General features: G+C 48.0%; 2 protein-coding genes across 10 annotated transcripts in view, besides 2 other annotated features; one reads left to right on the forward strand and one right to left on the reverse strand.

Moving 5' to 3' along the window:
* RASSF5 (Ras association domain family member 5) overlaps positions 1–21,878 on the forward strand; it is an 81,918-nt gene extending 60,040 nt beyond the window's left edge. For 2 of the 3 annotated variants that reach the window (NM_182663.4, NM_182665.4), the window contains 4 exons: positions 15,699–15,809; positions 16,817–17,114; positions 17,610–17,725; positions 19,256–21,878. In NM_182663.4, coding sequence (NP_872604.1) covers positions 15,699–15,809; positions 16,817–17,114; positions 17,610–17,725; positions 19,256–19,408 — 678 coding nt within the window. In that variant the 3' untranslated portion in view covers positions 19,409–21,878. The remainder of the gene's footprint in view (positions 1–15,698; positions 15,810–16,816; positions 17,115–17,609; positions 17,726–19,255) is intronic. The other variant, NM_182664.4, reaches the window with a different exon arrangement.
* The window catches only part of EIF2D (eukaryotic translation initiation factor 2D), a 43,320-nt gene continuing 18,965 nt past the window's right edge, over positions 1,576–25,930 (reverse strand). For 5 of the 7 annotated variants that reach the window (XM_017000531.3, NM_001201478.2, XM_005277509.4 and 2 more), the window contains one exon: positions 24,072–24,275. In XM_017000531.3, the coding sequence (XP_016856020.1) occupies positions 24,205–24,275 (71 nt within the window). In that variant the 3' untranslated portion in view covers positions 24,072–24,204. Of the gene's footprint in view, positions 13,593–24,071; positions 24,276–25,930 lie in introns of those variants that run through there. The other 2 variants (XR_001737023.3, XM_011509257.3) reach the window with 2 other exon arrangements.
* Positions 8,288–8,337: an enhancer, noted in NCBI's record as "active region_2407". NCBI's record gives its function as "activates an Ori minimal core promoter by ATAC-STARR-seq in GM12878 lymphoblastoid cells {active_cell/tissue: GM12878}" and the evidence as "EXISTENCE:reporter gene assay evidence [ECO:0000049][PMID:35858748]".
* Positions 20,529–21,029: an enhancer, noted in NCBI's record as "H3K4me1 hESC enhancer chr1:206761431-206761931 (GRCh37/hg19 assembly coordinates)". NCBI's record gives its function as "activates a minimal SCP1, AML or CMV promoter by ChIP-STARR-seq in naive H9 embryonic stem cells {active_cell/tissue: H9 hESC(naive)}" and the evidence as "EXISTENCE:reporter gene assay evidence [ECO:0000049][PMID:30033119]".

Genomic DNA, 25,930 nt, shown 5'->3' on the forward strand with positions numbered 1-25,930 from the left:
ACCTCGGGGAACCACCACTCTAGGCCTCACTTTCTCCCTCTGTAAGACGGGAAGACTTGGCGAACTCTGGGGCTGGGGATGGTAAAGGCCATTTTGAGAAACACAGTTGCCAGAGGTAGGGCTCATGACTGGGGTGTGTGGAGGTATAAGGCTGTGTTCACAGACAAGGGCAGGCACAAGGGGCTGCTGGGAAATGGCTGGAATGTGCGATAGTAATGGCTGGTGATTGGGCGTTGATATGTGTCAGGGACTGTCTTAGGTGCTTTACTGGTAAACACTCAATCCTCAAAACTACCATACGAGGTAGGTACATTATTGTTGCTACTTAAGAGGAAACTGAAGCACGGGAAGGGGTCAAATAATGTGCCCAGGGTCACATAATAGTAAGTGGCAGATCCTGAAGTTGGACCCAAGTAATCTAATGCCAGAGCTCCTAACCACTAAACTGTAGCTCTTTCCAGAACTCTCCAAGTAGTTGAAGCTCTTGACCTCACAAAGGATGCCCACAAATGCAGCCTCATGACAGCAGTACCATCTTGGAGTCACTGAAGATAGGACCCTTTGCCAGGCCATTTAGGGGACAGAGGAGATCAAATGTCCCTGCCCCTGGGCCTTTATGGCACAGTGAGGGGACACAAGCATTAAAAGACTCAGAGCTAGTTAATAGCTAAGTGGATATGTTTCAGTATCACATATTAATCCCTGAGCACCTGGGTGCCAAGACTGCCAGCCCAGGGTGGGGTTAACAGGGCACGCAGCATGTGAGGAGAGGACTCGTGTGGGCTGGTGAAGAGGCGCCCCAGCCCTCAAAGCTGCAGGTGGAGGGAAGCCAGGAAGGGCTGCACTTCCCCAGTGGTCAGCGCAGGCTGGCGTCCTGGCTGCTGGCGCAAGTCTCAAGCTGCCCCTCCCCTTCTAGCAAGCATGGGCGGTGTGGGTATGCGGGGTGCTGGGTACTGACTCACCTCCGGAGACCACTCGGCTCCCACACACCACCTCTGAATGATCTGAATCATTTATGAGGCTGAATGCCCTGTCCTCCAGGGAGCTCCAGCTGGAGCTGGAGCCAGCATATGGAGGTGGAGAGAGCTCCCGCAGTCACCCGGGCCCTGTACAGCCTGCAGGCAGAACCTATAAACTGGACTCCTAAAGCCACTCCTCTCAAGGCCTGGAGATTCTGCTGAGTTTCACTCTTTGGCTCTCAGAGCATCTGGAACTCTACATAAAGCTGAGGAACCCTTTGTTTAAACCATTCTTGTGCAGGAAGTTCACTATGTGAGGGCAAGGATGTGATTTGGAGGTGGGGATGGATAGCTCCAACGGTGAGCCAATACGTAGCTCCTAGCTCTGGAGCACCAAGAGTGTGCCGTGACTCTATGACCACATCCATCTCTCTAGACGCATATGAGGCTGGAAAGCCAGATGTTGACCTAACCCTGACCTTGCCATGACAGGGTAGTGGGAGAACATCTGGAGAAGGCTGGGAAGTCCCCACTACCTGAACCTCCTGTAGGGGCCAAGGCAGAGCTTCCGCTTGGCCCTCTGAAGGTTTGCTGAAAATCACTGCCATGAGGCAAATTGATGAGCAGGCAAAAAGGCACACACATTTATTTAACGTGTATTCGCGGGAGCCTTCAGAATGAAGACCCAAGCCCCAGTGGGGTACAGAAGCCCATACACATCCTAAGGTTACAGAAAGACTGTGGGCTCAGAGCATGGCCCCAAATAGGTTATGGTTGGTAAATCAGGTTTTAGTGGCAACACAGGTTTTGGGAGGGGAAGAAGAGGAGGCTTGGCTAGCCAAGGTGGTCTTGTTATGTAGATGAAACCTCACAGGTAGCAACCCTCAGAGAGAAGACATGGCAAATGTTTCTTTCAGATCTTTAAAGATGTCAGACTCCATTAATCTCTCCTAGATCTGGACAAGGGAAGAAGCCTTGGCTGCATTAAAGGAGATTCTCTACAGATGCAAATTTCCCCCACAAAGGACAGCTTTGCAGGGCCACCTCAGTCTGCTGGCCCTGTGACAGCCATCTCAAATTATGTCAAAGTAATATATTTTATCTTTTTCATTCCTCATGACTTAGTTTGCTCTAGAATGTGGGTAGGTGGACCAGTTCATCTTGAGGCCCCTTCCTGATCTCTGAGCACAGGCTTCTGTGCCCCTGACCTTTCTGGGCAGTCCCCTGGGAGGTTTTGAGCAGGCATGCCCGCTACGACTGCAGCAGCTCCTTTGAGCTAGGCTGGGCTGTCCAGGTCATTTTTTGTGTTCATTTTGCATCCCAGGAGAGTGGCCTAGTCCTAGGAAAAGAGCCTGGTCTTGGAGGGCTTGGCGTGATGGAGGCCCAGTTGCTTAGATGTGGCATTGACTCCTCGCTTGGAATACAGAAAGTAAGGGAAGCTCCCAACTCTATGGGAAACAGATAAAACCAGCCAGTGACATGGCCTCCAGGTTTCCCCTGCCCTTTTTATTTTTTATTGTGGTAAAATACACATAACATAAAATTTACCTTTTTTTTTTTTTTTTTTTTTTTTTTCCCCAAGACAGAGTCTCAAATCTGTCACCCAGGCTGGAGTGTAGTGGTGCAATATTGGCTCACTGTAACCTCTGCCTCCCAGGTTCAAGTGATTCTCCTGCCTCAGCCTCCCGAGTAGCTGGCACTACAGGCATGGACCACCACGCTTGGCTAATTTTTTTGTATTTTTAGTAGAAACAGGGTTTCACCATGTTGGTCAGGATGGTCTCAGACTCTGGGCCTCAAGAGATCTTCCTGCCTCGGCCTCCCTAAGTTCTGGGATTACAGGTGTGAGCCACTGCACCCAGCCAAAATGTACCATTCTTAAGTGCATAGTGCAGTGACGTTAAGTATAACCTCACATTGTTGTACAACCATCACGACCATCCATTTCCAGAACTTTTGTTTTCCCCAACTGAAACTCCTTACCAATTAAACAGTAACTCCCTACCAATTAAACAGTAACTCACTATTTTCCCCTCCCCCCACCCCTGGCAACCACCATTCTACTTTCTGTCTCTATTAATTTGACTATTCTAGGAACTTCATATAAGTAGAATCACACAGTATTAATCCTTTTGTGACTGGCTTATTTCACTTAGCTTAATGTTTTCAAGGTTCATCCACGTGATAGCATGTGTCAGAATTTCCTTCCCTTTCAAGGCTGAATGAGATTCCATTGTATGGACACAACACATTTTTTGTTTATTCATCCATCAGTGGACACTTGGGTTTCATCCATCAATGGACCCTTGGGTTGCTTCCACCTTTTTTGGCTACTGTGAATCGTGCCGCTGCAAACCTGGGTGTTCAAATACTGGTTTTCTGATATTTGAGTCCTTGCTCTCACATCTTCTGGGTGTATACCCAGAAGTGTAATTGCTGGATCACATGGTAATTCTGTTTAATTTTTGAGGATCACCATACCATTTTCCACAGTGACTGCATTATTTTACAATCCCACCAGCAATGCACAGGGCTGCAGTTTCCCTGCATCCATGCCAATGCTTGTTATTTTCTTGTTTATTGTTTTTATTAATAAGCATCCTGATATGCATGAAATGGTATCTCACTGTGGTTTTGATTTGCATTGCCCTAATGATTAGTGATATTGAGCATTTTTTCATGTGTTTGTAGATCATATATAGATCTTCTTTAGAGAAATATCTGTTCATGTCCATTGTCTATTTTTTCATCAGGTTTTTTTTTTTGTATTGTGGTAGTTTATATATTCTGCATATCAATCCCTTATGGCATATATCATTTGCAAAGGAATACTCTCTAAATTGGCCTGAAAGAACTGAGAGAGCTTAGGAGAGAGTTGGCCTGGGATGGGGTATTGGGATCCACTCACTCACCTACCCACCGTCCATCCTTAATTAACTCTGCAGTACTCTGGTTCAGGGTGGTCTGGGAATACAAAGATGGAAAAGGTACAGTCACTGACTGTGGTGTGCTCATAGTCTAATGAGGGACACAGGCTTGTACCACTAACACTAACGTACAGAGAGTCAAAGCAATGCTGGAATAATTGGGCATATGCTGATGTTGTTGGAAAATCCACTAATTCTAGATAAGAGTGGGTATCCCAAAAGACACTGTCAGTTCCAGGGGCAGGAGGCCAATTCTGTCAGATGTAGAGAAGGGAGGACTTTTCAGGCAGAATGGTCAGATGAAGGGCTCAGGGAGACTGAAAGGACGCTGACCTAGGTGAGGCTGGGTGAGGGGACAGGGACCTAGCTGGAAATCCAAGGAGGAAAACACCCAAAGGAAGACCTTCTAGAAACTCCTGAGGGCATAAGATGTCCCAAGGGAAAATTCCTGTGGCCATCTCAGAAGATTGAGTGTCACCCTCTTCTGTCTGGTTCAAACTTTAGACCTCTGAGCTAAAAAGGGGGCTTCATGAAGACCTGGAGCAGGGGAGAACAGAAATGGAAAGGATTTGGGTCATCTATTTTCAGAAGCAGAGGACAGAATTCTCATCTGGTGTTCAGTAGTCTCAGAAGTAAATGGGTCCATGGACCAGCAATCCTACAAGACCTTTATAAAATTCTGGAACCTTTTAATTACCTTACATTTATTTTGGGGTTTAGGGTGCATGCGTGTTACTGCTTCTTTGTGTTTTCTTCAACGCATGAAGCCAATGTTTAATGAACCCCTATTGTGTGCCTGACACTGTTCTGGGAGCCGCCTCAGTGAACAAGCCAAAGACCCTGCCTTGAGGGAGCTTCTTCCGAGATAGCCCACACAGTTGTGTCCTAGGCCACAGCCTGGCCTTGGAGTGGCTGTGGATATCAGAAAAACCTCCAGAATTGAGTACATGGGCACAGCTTTACAGAAGAGCACATGGTGCCCCTGGGATGCAGCAGAGAGGAAGGGAGTCTGTCCAGACCTGGGGCTAGGGTAACCAAATGCACTGGTTCCCCCGGACTGTCCTGGTTTTAGCATTGAAAGCCCTGCATCCCGAGAAAACCCTCAGCCCCAGCACACTGGGACAGTCAGTCGCCCTACCTGGGACTGAACAGCTGGAAAGTATGGTCACTTCTCCATGAGGCACAGCAGGCATCGTGCCACAGGCACACACGACTTTAGAGGTCCACAAAAACGTTTTAATTTCTTTAAAATCATGAGAAAAAAAATGAACATTTAGGTTGAAGAAAGTGTTTTAATATAGGATATTGATGTATTTGTCTTTATACCGATGCAATCATAGAATATAATTTTCAGTGGGTTTTTTTTAATGGAGGAAGGGGCCCTTGGCCCCAAAGACAAAAGTTCTTAGGACCCATGAAAGTCATAATGTGGCCTTGGCTGAAGGGCCTATCGGGAATCAAGGTCCCATATTGGGTCCCCACTGACCAAGCTTTGGTCAAATGACTACTGAAGATGATAATGGAAAAATTTGGACAAATGACTACTGAAGATGATGATGATCATGATCATGATGATGATGGTGATGATGATAATTTGGATGATGACGCACTAGCTAACATTTATGGAGTGCTTACTGTGTACTTTGTGCTAAGCACTTTGAGGCCTGAGATCTCATTTCATCTTCACAACAAATGTATAAACTGCATTTCACAAAGAAATCAGTCTCCGTGTGGTGGCTCATGCCTGTAATCCCAGCACTTTTGGAGGCCGAGGTGGGCGGACTGCTTGATTTTTTACCTTCACATCAATCCCGTGAGGCAATAAAGGATTTTTATCCCAAATTTATAGATGAAGAAACTGAGGCATATAGATTTTCTGACTTTCTCAAGACCATGTAGTGAGTAATAGGAGTCAGAAGCCAAATACACACTCATGTTCATCCTGCAGGTATTTACTGAATCTCTGCTATGTGTCAAGCTGGCACTGGGATCTGGGACGCCATAGAGGGCAAGACAGGCACGGGTGCTTCTCTCACGGAACTCAGTATAAATGGAAATCCAAGGCTCACTACTGCACTGTAATTCCTAGGAGAAATTAAGACCTCAAGAACCACTGAAGCAAGTATTGAGCAAGTATTTCCTATTTGCCTCATGTTCAGAGCCACCAGGCATAGAGAAGTAGTAGCAGTGGATGTAAGTCATTAAAGAGCTTCAGTCTAGTTGGGAAGAAGACCCGAGATGGATGGTCTACTTGGAAGTTAATATAAGTAGCCAGGCGTAGTGGCTCACGCCTGTAATCCCAGCATTTTGGGAGGCCAAAGCGGGAGGATCACTTGAGGCCAGGAGTTTGAGACCAGCCTGGGCAATATAGTGAGAGCCCCATCTCTTAAAAAAACAAAATAGAAATCGGAGTCTTAGTGAGGTGGACTTGATCAAGTTCACAGAAGACCAAGGGCATGGCCAGCACAGGCCACCTGTGGCCCAGCGTGCAAGGCAGCATGGTCTAATGGTGAAGAGTAACAGCATCTTTCTTGTTATTTAGGGGATTAAATGAGATCAGGACCTTGAACCCTTCAGGGCAGTGCCTGACTACTGTCGGTTTTTAATATTATAATGAGGCTCTGCAGGGGCTTGAACTTAGGTCCCTGTAAGGGAGCTACTGTTCCCTGGTATAACCCACTCTAGCTGAGCTGTGCAGAGACTGAGATGGTCACCTCAAAGAGCAGGGGACCCCGTGTCCAGACTCTGGGGCATGCTGGCAACCTGAGGAGTCTGCGGGAGTGGCCTGATCTGTGCTGCTTGAGGCTTTTTGTCCCAGATCACACTGTACTTGCTCTGGTGTGCCACAGCGCATCCATCTCTGTCTTCCCTTCTCAGGTCACCTGCAGACTCCCAAGGACAGGGTCACATCCCATCTGCGTCATCTCTCAAGGTGCCTTTCACGATCCTCACCCATAGGCAGTTCATTCAGTTACTACTGGCGGACTGTTGACATTGACCATCTGCTCTACGTTTTTGTCTTTGGAGACTTGAGTCTCTTTCCATTCTCAACCTCCACCCGCCACCTCTTTTTTCCCTCTGCTCTGTTAATACACCCTACCAGAGCTGCTCAAATTCCACATGGAGCAGAAGCTCCATGATAAAGCCCCTTCCCTGCTCTGCTGCAAATAACCTATTAGGGAACACAGTTAAGGAGTTCCCAACCCTTTTAATTTTGGGACAATGGACAGTGCCATAGAGGGACCTGTGGAAATCAACCCCTTCACTGCTGTGGTGGGTCTGTGGAGTCCATTTCAGAACACAGGCCTTCGAAGACCTGGGAGGGGGCCCTGCAGTAAGGCCCCATAGGGATTCCTCTTTCTCATTTGGTTGAGACCATCACAAAGGGACCAATGACTTTTTTTTTTTTTTTTTTTTTTTTGAGATGGAGTCTCGCTCTGTCATCCAGGCTGGAGTGCAGTGGCGCAATCTTGGCTCAATGCAACCTCTGCCTCCCAGGTTCAAGCGATTCTTCCGCCTTAGCCTCCCGAGTAGTTGGGATTACAGGCGCACGGATAATTTTTTTGTTTTTGTTTTTGTTTTTTTTTTTAGAAGAGACAGGGTTTCATTATGTTGCCCAGGCTGGTCTTGAACTCCTAACCTCACCTTTGAATGCGGTTTGGACATTGAGCAGGGTATTTCAAATCCAGCCCAGATAGATGGGTGTCTGCCCCTTGCCTGCAGACGTTCCCATCTAGGGCAAGCACAACAGAAGCACCGGGTGTTTGGGGTGTGGAAGGCAGCTGCAGATGGACATTCTCCTGTAGGAGGGGCCTGAGGCTTTCCTCCCTGACTTAAGCCTGGAGATGGCTTCCTTCCAAGGGGTGAAAGAATTGCTGCTGACAGATTTGCTAAGAGCTGAGAAAGAGGAAATGTGGCAAAGGCTCATGGTGAATGGCTTCCGGGGTATTTTTTGTTTTGTTTTCTTGAGTTGTGTGTGTTAAGAATGCGTAGACCGGCTTGGGCTTGGCTAAGATAGAGTCTTGCTGACAATAGAGAAAAGTGGTGAGCAGTGAAAAAGTAAAGTCGTGGCGGTTAGAAATGTTCTTTGTGCTCCTTTAGATTGGTTATTCCTGCTGCCATTCAGCCATGCTAGCTAGCCTCCAAGAGGCCCCCATCTCCACACCCAATTCTCTGAAATAGAAGAGGAAGCAATGATGAGAAAAAAACACCACCCTATCTTATGTGTAAAATCTTAGTCCTGCGAAGGGGCCCTTAGAGCTTCTCCAGTATCACTTCATGATTTCACAGATAAGGAAACTGAGGCCCTGAGAGGGGAAGTAGCTCCCCAGACGTCACAGGTCATTTGATGGTCTTGCATTTGTTCTCATCAGCTAGCTGCCAAGAGCTGAGCCACACGGCTAACGCCAAAGTCCAAAGCCTGGTGTGTGTTCTTGGTATCAGACCCTCAGGGTGCAGCTGAGTGTGAGGTGCTCCTGGACCTAGGGGTCTGGGGTGGGCTCTGGCCTGAGACTCCCCAGGCTGTCTTGCCCTCCCCTGCCACCCAATCAACAGGTATTTATCTGACACCTACTTAAAGTTTGGCCCAGGTTTCAGCCAAGCGGGGTGCCAAAAAGCTTAGGCACCAAACTAATGTCTGCCTCCATCCAGAGAGCATCTCACTGGGGAGATGGGATTAACATGTGAAACAATCATTAAACAATAAAAGGCAGCATATAATTAGATGCCAGCTGTAGCCACACAGGCTCTGAAATCACCTCTATAGGCTCTTGCAGTATGGATTTAACATTAGCCAGCAGCTGCAGAGATCTGTGACGATGGTAATTTGTACTTTTGCTGCAATGGGAATCTGAGGCTTTGAGGCCATGGGGCTGGTGTTTGGGAGCGAGTCACAGAACCAGGGGGTGAGCCTAGCTGTCTACCTCCATCCCTACCCCAGCCAGCTTTGTTGCCTCCTCATTGCAGAATGGAGTAAAGTGAGCAAAATCCAAGGAAGTGCCCAAGCCTTTGTCTTCTTGTGAAAAGTGTCCATGAAATGAGAGTGAAGTTACAAAGGCCCATTAACTGGTGGTGTGAGGAAATACACAGGAAACATAGGAAGTATGATTCAGGAGAAAGAGAGACCAGGACAAAACTGTGATTACCTTTCTCCATGTGGGAATCAAAATGCCAGGGATCTGGTACATTAAGAGAGCAGAGGATGGAGAGATGGCTATAGACTGGAGAAATTGCATTGGGAAACTACATAGAGAAGGTGGAACTAGGGCTAATAGTGTTCTAGGCAGGAGACTCTGCACAAACAACAGCATAGAGCAAACTACTGCACATGGCCAGGTTCCATAAATAAAGTTTGTTTTGTTTTTGAGACAGGGTCTTGCTCTGTCACCTAGGCTGGAGTGCAGTGGCACAATCACGGCTCACTGCAGCCTTGAACTCCTGGGGGCTCAGGTCATTCTCCCACCTCAGCCTCCTGAGTAGCTGGCACTACAGGTGCACTTCACTGTGCCCAGCTAATTTTTGTATTTTTTTTTTTTTGTAGAGACAGGGTCTCACTATGTTGCCCAGACTGGTCTCGAACTCCTGGGCTCAAGCGATCATCCTGCCTTGGCCTCTCAAAGTGCTGGGATTGTAGGTGTGAGCCACCATGCCAGGCCCATAAATAGTTTTACTGGAACCCAGTCACACTCATCCAGTAGCTGCTTTTGTGCCACAATAGTAGAGTTGAATAGTGGCAACAGACTGCGTGGCCTGCAAAACCTAACATTTACTGTCTGACCCTTTACAGAAAAAGTTTGCCAACCACTGGTGCAGAGAAAGGAATTAACAAACTCTATGGGCATGTGGCCAATCAGAAGAAGGACTCAAGGAAAATGAAAACTGAAATTGGCTCAGAGGGGTAGAACTTTGCTTTCCTGGGATGATAGTCACCATACATGCCTTTGAATGGGTTTGGTGATTTTCAGAACACTTTTGTACCCATTATCTCATTTGATTTTTACCTTCACATCAATCCTGTGAGACAATAAGGGATTTTTATCCCAAATGTATAGATGAAGAAACTGAGGCTTAGAGATTATCTGACTTTCTCAAGATCATGTAGTTAGTCATGGGAGTCAGAAGCCCAACACACACTTGTGTTCATCCTGCAGGTACTTAACCCCTACTATGTGTCAAGCTGGCACTGGGATCTGGGACACCATAGAGGACAAGACAGGCGTGGGTGCTTCTCTCACAGAACTCAGTCTAAATGGAAATCCAAGGCTCACTGCACTGTAATTCCTAGAAGAAATTAAGACCTTTTTTGTCCACTGTAGGCAATAGGGGATCATTGAAGGTTCTTGAGCAAGTATTTCCTATTTGCCTCATGCTCAGAGGCACCAGGCACAGAGAACAAATTGAAGTATGATGTAAGTCATTAAAGAGCTTTAGTCTAGTTGGGAAGAAGACCTGAGATGGATGAGTCTACTTGGAGGTTAATGTAAGCAGCCAGGCGCGGTGGGTCACACCTGTAATCCTGGCACTTCGTGAGGCTGAAGTGAGAGTATTGCTTGAGGCCAGGAGTTTGAGACCAGCCTGGGCAACATAGCAAGGCACCTCATTTCTACAAAAAAATAAAAAAAATTAGCCAGGAGTGTGGCACATGCTTGTAGTCCCAGCTACATGGGAGGCTGAGGCAGGAGGATTGCTTGAGCCTAGGAGGTCGAGGCTGCAGTGAGTTGTGATTGCACCAGTGCACTCTCGACTGGGTGACAGAGGGAGACATCTCAAAAAAAAAAAGTGTGTGTGTGTGTGTGTGTGTGTGTGTGTAAGTAGATGCTTACTTAAGTGCCAGATAGTATAGTGTTGCCTTTAGATGTAGGTTAGCTTTAACCTTCCTGTGGCTCACTTTCCTTGACTGTAAAATGAGCATCATAATAGTATTTTTTGTGACACATTTGCTGTGATGATGAAATGAGCTAATACATGCTAAGTGAGTAGAATAGTGCACGGTACATATTAGCTGTAGTGAATCATCGTCATCATTCAGGGCTGGAGTGATCAGGAAGAGCTTGACAAATAAAGTGACTTCTGATGGGCAAACAGGTGTGAGATGATTCAAATCGTGGGCCAGAAGGAGGAAAGACTGACAAATTTAAAAAGAGTGAGAGTGAATTTTTTAGCAAAAATTAGGTTTGTGATTTTGGTCAAGAAAAAGTAGGCACGGATGTATATAATAGCTGCAGTACTGCCGGTGGGACACACGTCCTCCTCAGCCCACCCTCATCCTGGGGACCCCCTCTCATTGCCACAGCATTCCTGGGTGCCCTGGGCCCACCTGGGAATACCAGAAGCCACGTGACTCACTCAGAGCCTCTCCTTAGGGCATTAGGTCACTCTCCAGTCACCAAAATTAAGATTACATATGTCATTGATTAGAGTGCAGAAGTAGGGTTTTGTTGCTGTTGCTTTAGTGATAAAATAAAGAAAAACAGCTTAGGGCAAATCTGCCCTGAGTTAGGCCCCAGACGAAAGGGGTATGGTCCTCCTTATTTTGTTAAGAATATTTAAATGGAAGCATTAGAGAATCACTCAGGGTCGGGGTGTCGCTGTGAACCCCTAGCACCCAGCCTCTTTACATGGCTGTTCCCCAATCACCTCCAGAGCTAAAAGAAGACATTGCCCTTTTCCACCGCATAGGACATGTGAGCACAAACCTGTTTTTCACCAGTGCCCTGGACATGCCAAGTGCATTGGGAACAGCTCAGCCATCTGCCACCAATGCCAGGGGCTTAATCGGAATAGATGAATTCCATGCCAGATGCACTGAGATGTGTGAGCCCCCAGGAGAGACACCTCACATGCCAATGTCTATATTTGTTAAATCATAACAGAGTTCCCTATTCTGTCTCTATCTTGGGCCACCCCAAGAGGCAAAACTGTCTGCTTGGTTTCTCGCTTTGTACCCGTGGACAGATCCTTAAGAATCTGGCAGGTGAATAGGAATCAGAGTCTTTGTCTTATCCTCTGAAGATTGCTATAGTATCGATCTCGCTCTCATGGCAGATAGTGCCTGTTAGGTAAACCTTTGGGGTGTTTGTGTGTTTCTTGGCACCAAGTGTTAATTCAGCAGCTGGATGAAGACCCTTGAGGTCTGGAATTGTTGTGAGGGGTCTGTCTATTTCAGTTCTTTTCGAATGTTGCTGCGAATTAAAATCAACTAGGAGATTTTTAAAATTCCCATGCCCAGACTGCACCCCAGACCAATTAAATCAGAATCTCCAGGGATGAAGCCCAGGCAGCTAAGTTTCTAAAGATCCCCCAGATGATTGCACTGTGCAGACAAGTTTAAGAACCACTGGTCTGGATTATACGCCATCTCTTGGGTGGAAAAAGGATCCGTGAGCCCTCGTGGCTGTGGCTGGCTGGCCTAATTCAGGAGGTGATTCATTTGGTCCATGGGTCACATCTTGTCTGCCAGATATTTTTGTGGGCAGCAGCCATCCCAGACCTGGGTGCTGGCATTCCATGGCTGTGACATTCGTAGTGTTGGCTACACACGGGGCTCCTGGCACTCCCAGACAGGGCTTCCCATCACCAGCCAGAGGGCCAGGCCTCAGAATGGTGAGGTCAGGGCTGCTGTCTTTTGAGTCAGCCCTGGAAGGCAGAGGTGCCTGTGGCCACTTGCGTCACTTCCCCGCGTTTGTGGTGGGAAGGGGAGAGATAGATGGGTCTATCTGCTGAAGAAAGGGGAACAGGAAGAAGAAACCCTAGGCTAAGGCAGCTTTGCTTCTCACTGTATTCAAAATCAAGCCTTTGAAAGCCACAGCACAGCTGCCTTTTCTTACGGGGAAATGGCTCTAGCTTGATTGGAAACTATGAGAGGAGATCTTTCCGAAGCTTCTAGAATTTTCTTTCCATTACTTATTTTTTATAGACAAGTATGAGAAAGCTATTACCTCCTGAGGAGCAATAGCCTACATGCGTCAGAGACAGAGTGAGTGTATAATAGTAACCAGACAACGGGGTCTTTCTAATTAGAAGCTCCCAGCGGGAAGGTATAGGGGTAGGGCCAGGGTCAGGCACATCTGGTCCCATAGACATGTGCTCAGCTGGCAAGGACTGAGGATGGGGAGCTCTGGGAGCTACCCAAGGGAAGGGATGAGGAAAATGAGAGGCTTCACTGTGAGAGTCCCCGGGTTAATGGACTGACAGTGAATGAAGAGAGTCTGTGAGGCTCACACTACTTGCTACTCACCTCCGGCAAGTGGGAGATGGCCAGAGCTGCTTGCCCTTGGGTGGTCTGCAACAGAATCAAGGTTCAGTTCCAGAGACCTGGGAAGGCACACAGGAGAAGGCTGGGCCCTGCATCCTGGTGGCTGCATCTCACTTGAGTTAGAAGTCCTTCCTTCCCACCTTCACAGGTGACATGGTGCCTCTGGGGCCTGACCCGCTGCTTAGACTCATCTTAGATGAACATTTCACAGATCAGGTAACTTACAGGCTTTGGTTTAACAGCTGCTCATCCCAGCCCCGCAGCACAGAGTTTCAGTGATCATTATGGGTGTGGCAGGCCGGCCCCTTCAGCAAAAGATGCCGTCCCATGGTGGCTACATGGTGAATTGAGAAGAGCATGGGCCTTAGATGGATTTGATTCCAGTTCCTACTTAGCTTCTTACTAGCAGGGGACCACAGGCATGTTTCTTAAACTCAGCCTCAGTTTTGTTATCTGTGAAATAAGAATGACATACATAGTATGTAAGAGAAGGTATGTGAAAGTACCCAGCACAGGCTGTTATTAATAGGTCAGGACCCCTTGGGGAGAGTACAGCGGGAGCAGACAGGCCAGGGAACGATGCCATGATGGAAAGAGGATGTCAGAAGCTGGGTGCGGTGGCTCACACCTGTAATGCCAGCACTTTGGGAGGCCAAGGCGGATGGATCATTTGAGGTCAGGAGTTCGACATCAGCCTGGCCAATATGGTGAAATCCCGTCTCTACTAAAAAATACAAAAATTAGCTGGGTGTGGTGGTGCGCACCTGTAATCCCAGCTACTTGGGAGGCTGAGGCAGGAGAATTGCTTGAACCTGGGAGGCAGAGATTGCAGTCAGCCAAGATCGTGCCACTGCATTCCAGCCTGGGTGACAGAGGGAGACGAAAGAAAAGAAAGAAAGAAAGAGAGAGAGACAGAGAGAGAGGGGGGAGAGAGAGAGAGAGAAAGAAAAGGAAGGAAGGAAGGAAAGAAAGAAAGGAGGATGTCAGCTGTGCTGAGGGGTTGGAGGTGGGAGGCTGGAGCCACGCCAGCTCCTCTTGGCAGCCAGAGCCTGACATTGCATCGGTTCTGTGGGATTGGAAAGTGGAAGGAAGTGATGGCAGGTTGTTCAGGGTGGCGTGTCTCCCACATGGCTTGCTGAAGGGAGGAAGGTAGGGCAAAGCTCTGTCACGGAGGGGGGGCCCTGTTGTGTTCCGCGGGGTGGTGATGTGACGTCGCGGCAGCTGTGAAATTCCCCAGCCAAACCCAGACACCCACAGGACAGTGTCAGATGGTGTCAGAGTCATCCCTCACTGGGCCTCAGTTTCCTCATTTACCAAAGGAGAATCCTGATCCACCCCAAGTCTGCTACACTTGAACGTCAGGCAAATTCTGGGTGGGTTCTGACCAACCAGTTCCCACACTCCCAGCCACTCAGGGACAGTGTGAAGATAAAACCGGGAGGTGGGTAACAGTGAACTTGAGAGAGAGCCAGAGAACTGACTGAGGGACAGTGGCTTCGACCCCAGAATTCACCCCTGTATTGTCTCTACAAGGTGAGGGCCATTGACCTCAATCTCCTCAATTTCATTGTTCACTTATCCTTCCCAGGGGGTGGGAGGAGGAGGGCATCTGGGAACATATGAGAAGAATGAACACATGGTCTCACAGGAGGAACACAATGGGACAGACCTGGAATTTCTGTTTCATTCTGTACATACTGACTGTAGGGTGTGAGGCAGGTTGCTAAACTTCTCTTAGTCTCAATAGTCTCACCTGTAAGATGGGGTAATAAACTATCTTACAGACTTCTGGTTTGTGAGAATCATATGAGATAATGTATGCCAAGTACTTGGCACAGAAGAAGTGCTAAGTAAATTCTAGGTGTCCCTGTGCCCAGTAGCGGTTTATCTCCTCTTTTATGGTAGAGGGGGCTACAGCCCTTCATCCCTGCCAGTTCACTCGTTCATTTGACAAATAGATATTTACTTCTTGCTATGTGAAAAGCACTGTGGCAAGTGATGTGGGGCCTGGACTGGTCTCTATGTGTCCTTGGTCCTTGGGATCTAAGAGAATTCTTGTCTTCCCGATCAGTAGTATATACTGGCACCATGGGTAGACGCCTGTCCCTCCAGCTGTGTTGTTACTTCCTTGAGGAGACAGACCATGGCTTGTATTTCTTTGCATCTCCCATAGCATCAAAGAAGCATCTTTTCCATAGCAGCTTTCCATAAGCAAATGCGGCTCTGCTCATTCACCAGATTCATAGTCAGTGCCTGAGTGCCAGACGCTTTCACACTAATCTCAAGACAAGCCTGTGCAGTAGGTATTGTTCCCATTTCACAGATGAGGAGACTGAGGCTTAGAGAAATCTGAGTTACTTCTCCAGGAGGGCTGGCTAGACACTGGCACAGCTGCAATTTGACCTCTCATTGTCTCACTCCGAGTCCGTGCAGTTAGTTCCACTCTGCAGGGCTGGATGCTCACTTCTTGGTTAGAGAGGCTTTGGGGAGGGCGTGGTTGTTCCCTTTCTCACCCTGAGAACTACTACACATCCACCTCCACTTCTGTGTCTCTTCCAGAATGTCTGTAAACCTGTGGAGGAGACACAGCGCCCGCCCACACTGCAGGAGATCAAGCAGAAGATCGACAGCTACAACACGCGAGAGAAGAACTGCCTGGGCATGAAACTGGTAAGCGCCCGTCCACCCTCAACCTGGCCCCTGCTCCACCACCCGCTTCGGGTTTGGCGCCTCTGCCCTCACTCTGAATTCTGTGGCTACTCCCTGGCAGGTCCCCTCCCTTTCCTCCGGCCTCCAGAGGCCTCCGGGGTCTGGAAGGCTGATAGCCAGAGCCCTCAGTGGCCTCCATGTGCTTTAGGGAAATAGATCTGACTCTCATTTTTTGCTTGTGATTTTGGGAAGCTCTTTTAACTCCTCCTCTGAGCTTCAGTGTAAACTAAGTGATTAAACGGTACGTAATGACCAAGGGCCCAGTATTGCTTGGCCTCCAGGGAGCCAGGACAATGGGACTTAGTTGCTCCCCTTCCTACCCCTTCGATTGTGAGAGAGGGACATACTCTCTCAGAGAGGGGAGGGCACCCAACTTAGCACCCAGTTGGGAAAGGCTGTCTTCAATAGGGAGGGGAGAAGGTAGAAAAACACTGCCCCCTGCTGGTGGCTGGCATCAGCTGGCTCTTTGGGGTTCAGCCAGATGGAGCACCAGAAAATCCAGTCACAAATGCACCTAGGTTTAAGTCTTAAAGGCTGTTTCTTAGTAAAGAGATACAGGAGGAAATCTAGTGGGCTGGTTCTCCAAGGCCCTCATTATAGAGCCTTCCTGCTTCCTGCCTGGTTCAGAGGTACAAACTAGAGTGGCTACCCCACACCCTGCCTCTTACAATGGGCACTCACCAAAGGCAACTGGTTACAGGAGGTTTAGGGAGCTGGCCTGAGCCTCCTGGGAGGGAAATCCACTGCAGCCCCACAGGTCCTCTTTGGTAGCTGGATCCTGAGGGTCTTCTCCCAGCCCACTATGGGGAAAGGGATCTCTGCTCCTTCCTCCAGCTCTCCCACGTCAGCAGAGGCAGGAAAGAACTCAAGGAGACAGGTGGGTGCTGCTGGGGCAATGGCCCCGAGTGGCAGATATGATCATGCAAGGCGGACGGCCCTGACCCCCTGTGACATGCCCCCGCTGGCAGAGTGAAGACGGCACCTACACGGGTTTCATCAAAGTGCATCTGAAACTCCGGCGGCCTGTGACGGTGCCTGCTGGGATCCGGCCCCAGTCCATCTATGATGCCATCAAGGAGGTGAACCTGGCGGCTACCACGGACAAGCGGACATCCTTCTACCTGCCCCTAGATGCCATCAAGCAGCTGCACATCAGCAGCACCACCACCGTCAGTGAGGTCATCCAGGGGCTGCTCAAGAAGTTCATGGTTGTGGACAATCCCCAGAAGTTTGCACTTTTTAAGCGGATACACAAGGACGGACAAGGTAGGAGAAAGAGTGAACCCAACCAGACCGTTCCCTTCCTACCTGTGTCCAAGCCCACCCACTAAAACTCCTGCCGGCCTTGGGTGGGAGCTGTGGGCTTCTCCTGAGCACCAGGGGTCCAGCTGCCCATGTGGTGTTCAGATCTGTGGAATCCGGGCAGGGAGGCAAGAGCAGAGTCCCTGACTCTGCATGTGACTTCAGGAAAACCACACCCTAGGCTCCCATTTCCTGATCTGTGCAATGGGAGGAATCTGCCCCACCATTCCTAATCTTTCAGGAGATGATGTGAATGGAATCATGCTTTAAACTCTGAGCAGACACCCAAGATAAAAGGTTATTGCCCTGTTCATTACTGTCATGTTCATTTCATTAAAAGGCCCGTGTCTACTTCCAGTTGTACGTACCCCACCTCTGCATTTCCAATCCTTTCCCGCAAGCCTGGGCCCCGCCCTTCTTTTCTGGGAAGAGCTCCCAGCACCCTCTCTTGGTTTGCAGTGCTCTTCCAGAAACTCTCCATTGCTGACCGCCCCCTCTACCTGCGCCTGCTTGCTGGGCCTGACACGGAGGTCCTCAGCTTTGTGCTAAAGGAGAATGAAACTGGAGAGGTAGAGGTAGGTCTGGACCCATTGTGCAAACCCAGGCCTTAGGGCACCCTGGGTGGGTGCAGGTGGGTGTTGTCCTAACTACCTCACATAGGTGGGAGCCACGCAGCACGGGCAGGAAGGTGACTGTTGAGAGAGTGAGCAGGGGTGGGTGATGGGCCTGGGGGTCAGTGTTTCAGCCAGGACTCTGAACACCCTGGGGTAGCACATTAGGGCCTGTGTGTGGCAAGGCCTGTGGAAAGAAAGGATTTCATGTGCTTTATTTCTGAAAACTCAGGGAGGAGGGGGACCAAGAAACTCCCTGTGCTCAGGCACAGGCTGTTTTTGCTTCAAAATGGCCCGAGGGCTACCAAGCTCCATCTCTGGGCTCCACTGGGTATAGACGTTTTTGAGCCATTTGTCCTCCCTTTTCTTGACCTCCATCCCCCAAGGGGAGCTAACCAGTGTGTAGTCTTGTGGCATAAACTGGAGTAAAACCAGGCCGGTGCCACCCATGGCCTGAGAATGACCAACAGGGGAAGGTCTCAGTGTTTGTCACACTGTGTTCAGTGGAGGCCTAGAGTTTTAAGGAGTTTTGGGAGTCACTGCGGAGATTTAGGGATCAAGGCAGCTGGGACTCTGTCCCTTCTCCCCATTTCAGCAAGGGCCGCTCTGCTCCCATCTGCTTTCTTTATTGGCATCTGTGCAGAATATGTTTGGAAAAAGTACTCCATGGACAGTAGCTGAATGCTGCTGGCCCTGTGGAAAGCTCAGGCACTTTGAAGTGTGGAGACCTGGGCTCTAGTTCCAGTTCTGCTGCAATGAGCTCTGTGATTGTGATTACGCCACCTTCCCTGTGTGGACTTGAGGTTTCTCACTTATCCATAGCGAGGACCAAACCAGATAAACCTTAGTACTCTATTGTGCTCAAAGAGCTTAGGAGTCTCAATTGTTGGCCGCACAGGGCTTGTGCTCTTGGGTCAGCCTGATGGAAGTCCAAATTGCCTTCTGCCATCAGAGGCCAAGTCCTTTAGGGGTAGGCCTGGGCCAGTCAGGCTCTCATTATCTGCTCTGCCAGTCATGGGAGGTAGATACCCCAATTTCCCAGCAGATAACAGGCTGAGAAGGGTGGAAAGCTGTGCTCGAGGTCACACTGCTGGGAGAGGTGGAGTCAGGCCCAACCCCGGTCTCCTGAGTCCACGTTCCACTCCTCCACCTGCTTTCTGAGGGTCTGCATGTTGGGAGGCTGGGTGGTTCCAGCATCACTGTCAAGATCTCGGCTGCTACACAGAAACTTAAGATTATTGAGTTTCAAAATAAAAACATGGTTCATAGACTGGCAACTCTTGGTCATGAGATGCCAGCATTTGGAATTTTGTTGCTGCTATGACAGGCATGCAAAGCCCAGGCTTCGCTGATTCAGTCTGTTCAGTAGCAAACTGTGTGTGAATCACGGATGTGAACTGGGAAGGGGAAGGCAGCAGGGTCTCTCAGGTCGTGTCAACTTCTAACCTGTCTCCTATTCTGTTTCTTCCCACAAATCTCCCTCTCGCCTCACAGTGGGATGCCTTCTCCATCCCTGAACTTCAGAACTTCCTAACAATCCTGGAAAAAGAGGAGCAGGACAAAATCCAACAAGTGCAAAAGAAGTATGACAAGTTTAGGCAGAAACTGGAGGAGGCCTTAAGAGAATCCCAGGGCAAACCTGGGTAACCGGTCCTGCTTCCTCTCCTCCTGGTGCATTCAGATTTATTTGTATTATTAATTATTATTTTGCAACAGACACTTTTTCTCAGGACATCTCTGGCAGGTGCATTTGTGCCTGCCCAGCAGTTCCAGCTGTGGCAAAAGTCTCTTCCATGGACAAGTGTTTGCACGAGGGTTCAGCTGTGCCCGCCCCCAGGCTGTGCCCCACCACAGATTCTGCCAAGGATCAGAACTCATGTGAAACAAACAGCTGACGTCCTCTCTCGATCTGCAAGCCTTTCACCAACCAAATAGTTGCCTCTCTCGTCACCAAACTGGAACCTCACACCAGCCGGCAAAGGAAGGAAGAAAGGTTTTAGAGCTGTGTGTTCTTTCTCTGGCATTGATTCCTCTTTGAGTTCTCTTACTTGCCACGTACAGGACCATTATTTATGAGTGAAAAGTTGTAGCACATTCCTTTTGCAGGTCTGAGCTAAGCCCCTGAAAGCAGGGTAATGCTCATAAAAGGACTGTTCCCGCGGCCCCAAGGTGCCTGTTGTTCACACTTAAGGGAAGTTTATAAAGCTACTGGCCCCAGATGCTCAGGGTAAGGAGCACCAAAGCTGAGGCTGGCTCAGAGATCTCCAGAGAAGCTGCAGCCTGCCCTGGCCCTGGCTCTGGCCCTGGCCCACATTGCACATGGAAACCCAAAGGCATATATCTGCGTATGTGTGGTACTTAGTCACATCTTTGTCAACAAACTGTTCGTTTTTAAGTTACAAATTTGAATTTAATGTTGTCATCATCGTCATGTGTTTCCCCAAAGGGAAGCCAGTCATTGACCATTTAAAAAGTCTCCTGCTAAGTATGGAAATCAGACAGTAAGAGAAAGCCAAAAAGCAATGCAGAGAAAGGTGTCCAAGCTGTCTTCAGCCTTCCCCAGCTAAAGAGCAGAGGAGGGCCTGGGCTACTTGGGTTCCCCATCGGCCTCCAGCACTGCCTCCCTCCTCCCACTGCGACTCTGGGATCTCCAGGTGCTGCCCAAGGAGTTGCCTTGATTACAGAGAGGGGAGCCTCCAATTCGGCCAACTTGGAGTCCTTTCTGTTTTGAAGCATGGGCCAGACCCGGCACTGCGCTCGGAGAGCCGGTGGGCCTGGCCTCCCCGTCGACCTCAGTGCCTTTTTGTTTTCAGAGAGAAATAGGAGTAGGGCGAGTTTGCCTGAAGCTCTGCTGCTGGCTTCTCCTGCCAGGAAGTGAACAATGGCGGCGGTGTGGGAGACAAGGCCAGGAGAGCCCGCGTTCAGTATGGGTTGAGGGTCACAGACCTCCCTCCCATCTGGGTGCCTGAGTTTTGACTCCAATCAGTGATACCAGACCACATTGACAGGGAGGATCAAATTCCTGACTTACATTTGCACTGGCTTCTTGTTTAGGCTGAATCCTAAAATAAATTAGTCAAAAAATTCCAACAAGTAGCCAGGACTGCAGAGACACTCCAGTGCAGAGGGAGAAGGACTTGTAATTTTCAAAGCAGGGCTGGTTTTCCAACCCAGCCTCTGAGAAACCATTTCTTTGCTATCCTCTGCCTTCCCAAGTCCCTCTTGGGTCGGTTCAAGCCCAAGCTTGTTCGTGTAGCTTCAGAAGTTCCCTCTCTGACCCAGGCTGAGTCCATACTGCCCCTGATCCCAGAAGGAATGCTGACCCCTCGTCGTATGAACTGTGCATAGTCTCCAGAGCTTCAAAGGCAACACAAGCTCGCAACTCTAAGATTTTTTTAAACCACAAAAACCCTGGTTAGCCATCTCATGCTCAGCCTTATCACTTCCCTCCCTTTAGAAACTCTCTCCCTGCTGTATATTAAAGGGAGCAGGTGGAGAGTCATTTTCCTTCGTCCTGCATGTCTCTAACATTAATAGAAGGCATGGCTCCTGCTGCAACCGCTGTGAATGCTGCTGAGAACCTCCCTCTATGGGGATGGCTATTTTATTTTTGAGAAGGAAAAAAAAAGTCATGTATATATACACATAAAGGCATATAGCTATATATAAAGAGATAAGGGTGTTTATGAAATGAGAAAATTATTGGACAATTCAGACTTTACTAAAGCACAGTTAGACCCAAGGCCTATGCTGAGGTCTAAACCTCTGAAAAAAGTATAGTATCGAGTACCCGTTCCCTCCCAGAGGTGGGAGTAACTGCTGGTAGTGCCTTCTTTGGTTGTGTTGCTCAGTGTGTAAGTGTTTGTTTCCAGGATATTTTCTTTTTAAATGTCTTTCTTATATGGGTTTTAAAAAAAAGTAATAAAAGCCTGTTGCAAAAATGACTCATGTTAGAAACGTCTCCCTTGAACTTCACCATCTTACGGACACTGGGAGCGGGGGAGAGAGGGTGAGAATGGACATGATCACATGCTTCCTGGTGGAGTCAGATTTTCTTTTGCCAGTGAGCAGAGAAATGAAGGCTACTGTTCAAATAATTTGGGAAAAATTGTCCAAATGCGTAGGCGGGAGGGCGCTGCCTGGGTGACCAGCTGTTCCATGTCTCCGCAGTGCAAGAGAGTCAAGGAGACTGATTGCAGGCAGAGATGCTGATGTGTGGGAAAGAGAAGGGCCTTCTGGAGCTAAGGGTGATTTGACACCAGGACAGGCTACTGAGCTGAGCCATGATTCTTCTACTTCTGGAATTATTTAAAAATAAGGTAGAAAGGAATAGATCTTTAAAAGTTTAAGATCACTTCACCTGGAGGAAGGGGGCTAGATCAAATGACCAAAACAAACAGTCCTTTCACTTGAGTTCTCTGACTTTCATCAAAGGAACATCTCAGTAATCATGGAAATAACCACATTAAATTATTAAAAAGAAATTCTTGCTGCCTTCCAGTATTGATCACATAGAATGCAATACATGGGGCCCAAAGAATGAATGAATGTCCAACAAGCATCCTTAAAACTGCCCAAGAATGGGGCACATCTGTAACATTTTTGTTCATCTAAACCCCCAAGAAATGTATCTTTCAATGATTTTGCCAAAGTCCAAAAATGAAGCACTTTCTGCTTTTCATTGAATCTCATATGGTTACAGCATAGGGTTAATAAATTCAAAGTTGTACGTTTGACATTGATACAGATTATTTGACTTAGCACATAGGAAAAAGAACCTGTTACACAGTCTGGCTCTACTCTGCCTTTGAATATGTCCCTATGCTGTTCACAGGGGGAGAGGGAAGATGACTCAATGCAAATGTGTCACCGTTACTGGAAAAACCACTCAATGCACAGGTCTGGACAGCACTGTGTCATGGCAGAATTGTGGGTCAAACCACAATTAAGGGTAGATGTTCATTTTAGACCCAGCCCTACCACTTACTGGCTTTGTGTCTTCAGCAGAGATCAACAAGGCGGGACATGACCTTTCTTAGCCTCCACTCCCTTCAAGATCGTGCAAAACAAATCAAGTTTGTGAAAGAACTTTGCACAGTGCTATATTTTACTTGTATTCACATAAGGAACCATAGTTCATTACTACTATACAGATCATAATCCCTCAGATCAGACTCTGGCAGGCCAAAGGCTTTAACAGGATCCTGTTTAGGCTCAATTTCTGGAAATCCCTTTCCTAGTTTCATATGCTCATGCCGGTAGAGATAGGATTAGTGAAATTAAGGAGTTTACTCATGAGTAAAAAGGTCTATTCTGGGCCTGATAACAGACGGTAGGAGGCGCCACACACACATTTTCAAACCCATTCCTTTTTTCCTTTTCAAGCCTCAAACGGGCAATTTGTGGATATTGTGGATATTTTTAAGCCTTTCTTATCTCAGTTTGAGAAAAACTGAGAAGAGAAAGAAACAAGTAAACTGAAGTGCAACTGTCTCTTAATGGTAAAACCCAAAAACTCAGGGAATTTAGCCCAGTTCTCCCTCCTATTATACAAGGAGAGATCCAGTCAGTGAAATGATTCCATAAACTGAGCAGGGACCAGCGCAGTGGTTCTGCACTTTTCTGGCATCAAGTGATCCCTTTGGGAATTTGATGAAAGCATGGTCCATCTCTCAGGAAAATGATCGTACAAAATCTGTGCACCATTTCAGGGAGTTCATGGATCCTCTAAAGACCTATTAAAGACCCCTTCCATGACCTCCACGTTAAGAAGTTGGGGCTGAAGAGGGCATGTGTTGGATGAGACTCTTCACTGTAACAAAGCTGTCATCTTGGAGTTACATCACAAATTTACCAGTTAGTGGCAGTGTCCTAAAGTTGGGGAAGAATCACTGTCCTATAGAAACCCACGTCCTAATATGCCTGTATACTGTTTCTGATTTCTATCTAGCCTAAATTCTACTGCAATTTAGGGTCAATTCTTTCTTCTGTTGCTTTGATTGATGACAGAGAACAGCTGGGATCTGTTTTCTACGTGACTAACCCTTTAGAGATGTGAAGGAACTATTTTGGGGCTAGGAAGTTAATTAGGCAGTAGGATATTTGGTAGAAGGTCTTTAAAAAGAGGAAGGCCCCACCTGTCCGAACTCTGAATGGGCTGGCCTGCCTGGAAAGCAGGGAAGGAATGAAATCATTGAAACCACATGGACAGAATGGCAGCCACCGTGACCTCTTCTGTCCATTTAGAATACTCCCGACTTCAAAAATTAGTACATTTTAGCTAAGTGGAGGAAACAAGAGGGAAGTCAGATTTAGATTAGAATAAAAATTTATTTTTGTAAAGAATTATATTTTGTATTTGCAAAAGCTGAAAATGCTCATAAAAATTACCAGCCCAGAGCTTGGATTTCCACCGGATCCACCACGTGAGACAAAAGAGTCTGTCACTTCTTCTTGCCAGGTTTGAGGGCCTTTTCTAGACCTTGGATGTGTTTTCGAGGGAGCTGATACTCTTCTACAATCCAAAAAGCACACACTCCTCAGCGGAGCATGACCTTGCTCCCCGGCTGGCCCTCCACCAGTCCCCGTTGCCTCACAATGTCATTCCACCCAGCTCAAACTCAACTTCGGGACTGACCACTTACGCCTACACCTCACAGCTGATGTGTATATTTCTGAAATTTTCACACTGAGAGCTACTTTCTGGGTGTATTTCAGGCATTTATAATTTTTTCACGAGAGAGAATGTGTCTGTTCAGTCTGTGCTCCTCGCTCTTGCTCATAACATTTCTTCTCAGTACCTTGTATGGGGTTCTTCACATAAAGAGGCTCAACTCTAGAAGTTAACTGTCAGGTACTGCCATAGGCCATGGAATACATTTGCCTAAATGAGCACTTACTATCCGCCAGGCCCTGAGGATGAAAAAGGCAAGGTTTCTGGCTCATGCAGCTCAGTCTGGCAGGAGGTTCAGACATTAGAAAAAATTAGCCAAGCTGCAGACATTAACCGGAAATATAAACACAATTGGAAAGTGCTACATTAGCAATGTTTAAAATGCTAATTTAGGCTCAGGCCTCCCAGGACCCCTGGGCTGGGCCAGTGAGCCTCTGAGGTCAGGTGGGCTTGGGCGTGGGAGGGCATCTTAGGCAAGGGGATAGCCCAGGCGGAAGCACATGTGGGTGAACATGCAAGGAGAATCTGGAGAACTGCAAGGAGACCAGGACAGCTGGTGCCTGCAACATGGGTGTAGGAGCTGCCAGAGAGAGCCTGGCAGGGAAGGCTGGGGTCAGGCTGGGAGGGTCTTGTTTATTGAGCTTAGGAGTTAATTCTGAAGGCATTGAAGAGGCATACAAAGTTTTTTAGAAGGGAGTGATGTGATCATATTTGTTTAAGAAAGCTGACTCAGGCAGAGATGTGAAGGCTGGTTTGAAGTGAGGAAAAACGGGAGGCTGGGTTACCCAGAGTTAGTAGAAAGAACTTAGGCTTTAGGCCAGGCATGGTGGCTCAAGCCTGTAATCCTAGCACTTTGGGAGGCCGAGGCAGGCGGATCATCTGAGGTCAGGAGTTCAAGACTGGCTTGGTCAACATAGTGAAACCCCATATCTACTAAAAATACAAAAATTAGCTGGCCGTGGTGGCATGCGCCTATAATCCCAGCTACTCGGGAGGCTGAGGCAGGGGAATGACTGGAACCTGGAAGGTGGAGGCTGCAGTGAGTGCAGTGAGCCAAGATTGCGCCACTGCACTCCAGCCTGGGTGACAGAGCGAGATTCTGTTTCAAAAAAAAAAAAACTTAGACTCTGGAGTCTAAAAAAGTTTCGTGCCCAGCTATATCACTCAAGAGTCAGAGGATCTCAGGGCAAGGTACGGAACCTCTCTGGGCCTCAGTTTCCTCATCTGCAAAACAGATAACAGCTCTGCAGCATCATTATGATTAAGAGAGATGCCTGCAAAAACCCCAACAATGGGCCTAGCACAAAAGTTTGGGTGCTCGCCATATGTTTTATAGAAAGGGACCAACCAGGAAGAAAACTACTCTAATAGTGGAAGAGAAAACACTGAATTTGGAAGGAGCCAAAGGATCTGATTCAAACACTGGTTCCCTCTTCTCTAAATAGCTACTAAAAACTAAATGGAGAGAGAGAGAGAGAGAGAGCGAGAGAGAGAGA

The sequence above is a fragment of the Homo sapiens genome, chromosome 1 (assembly GCF_000001405.40).
Source record: "Homo sapiens chromosome 1, GRCh38.p14 Primary Assembly".
NCBI lineage: Eukaryota > Metazoa > Chordata > Mammalia > Primates > Hominidae > Homo > Homo sapiens.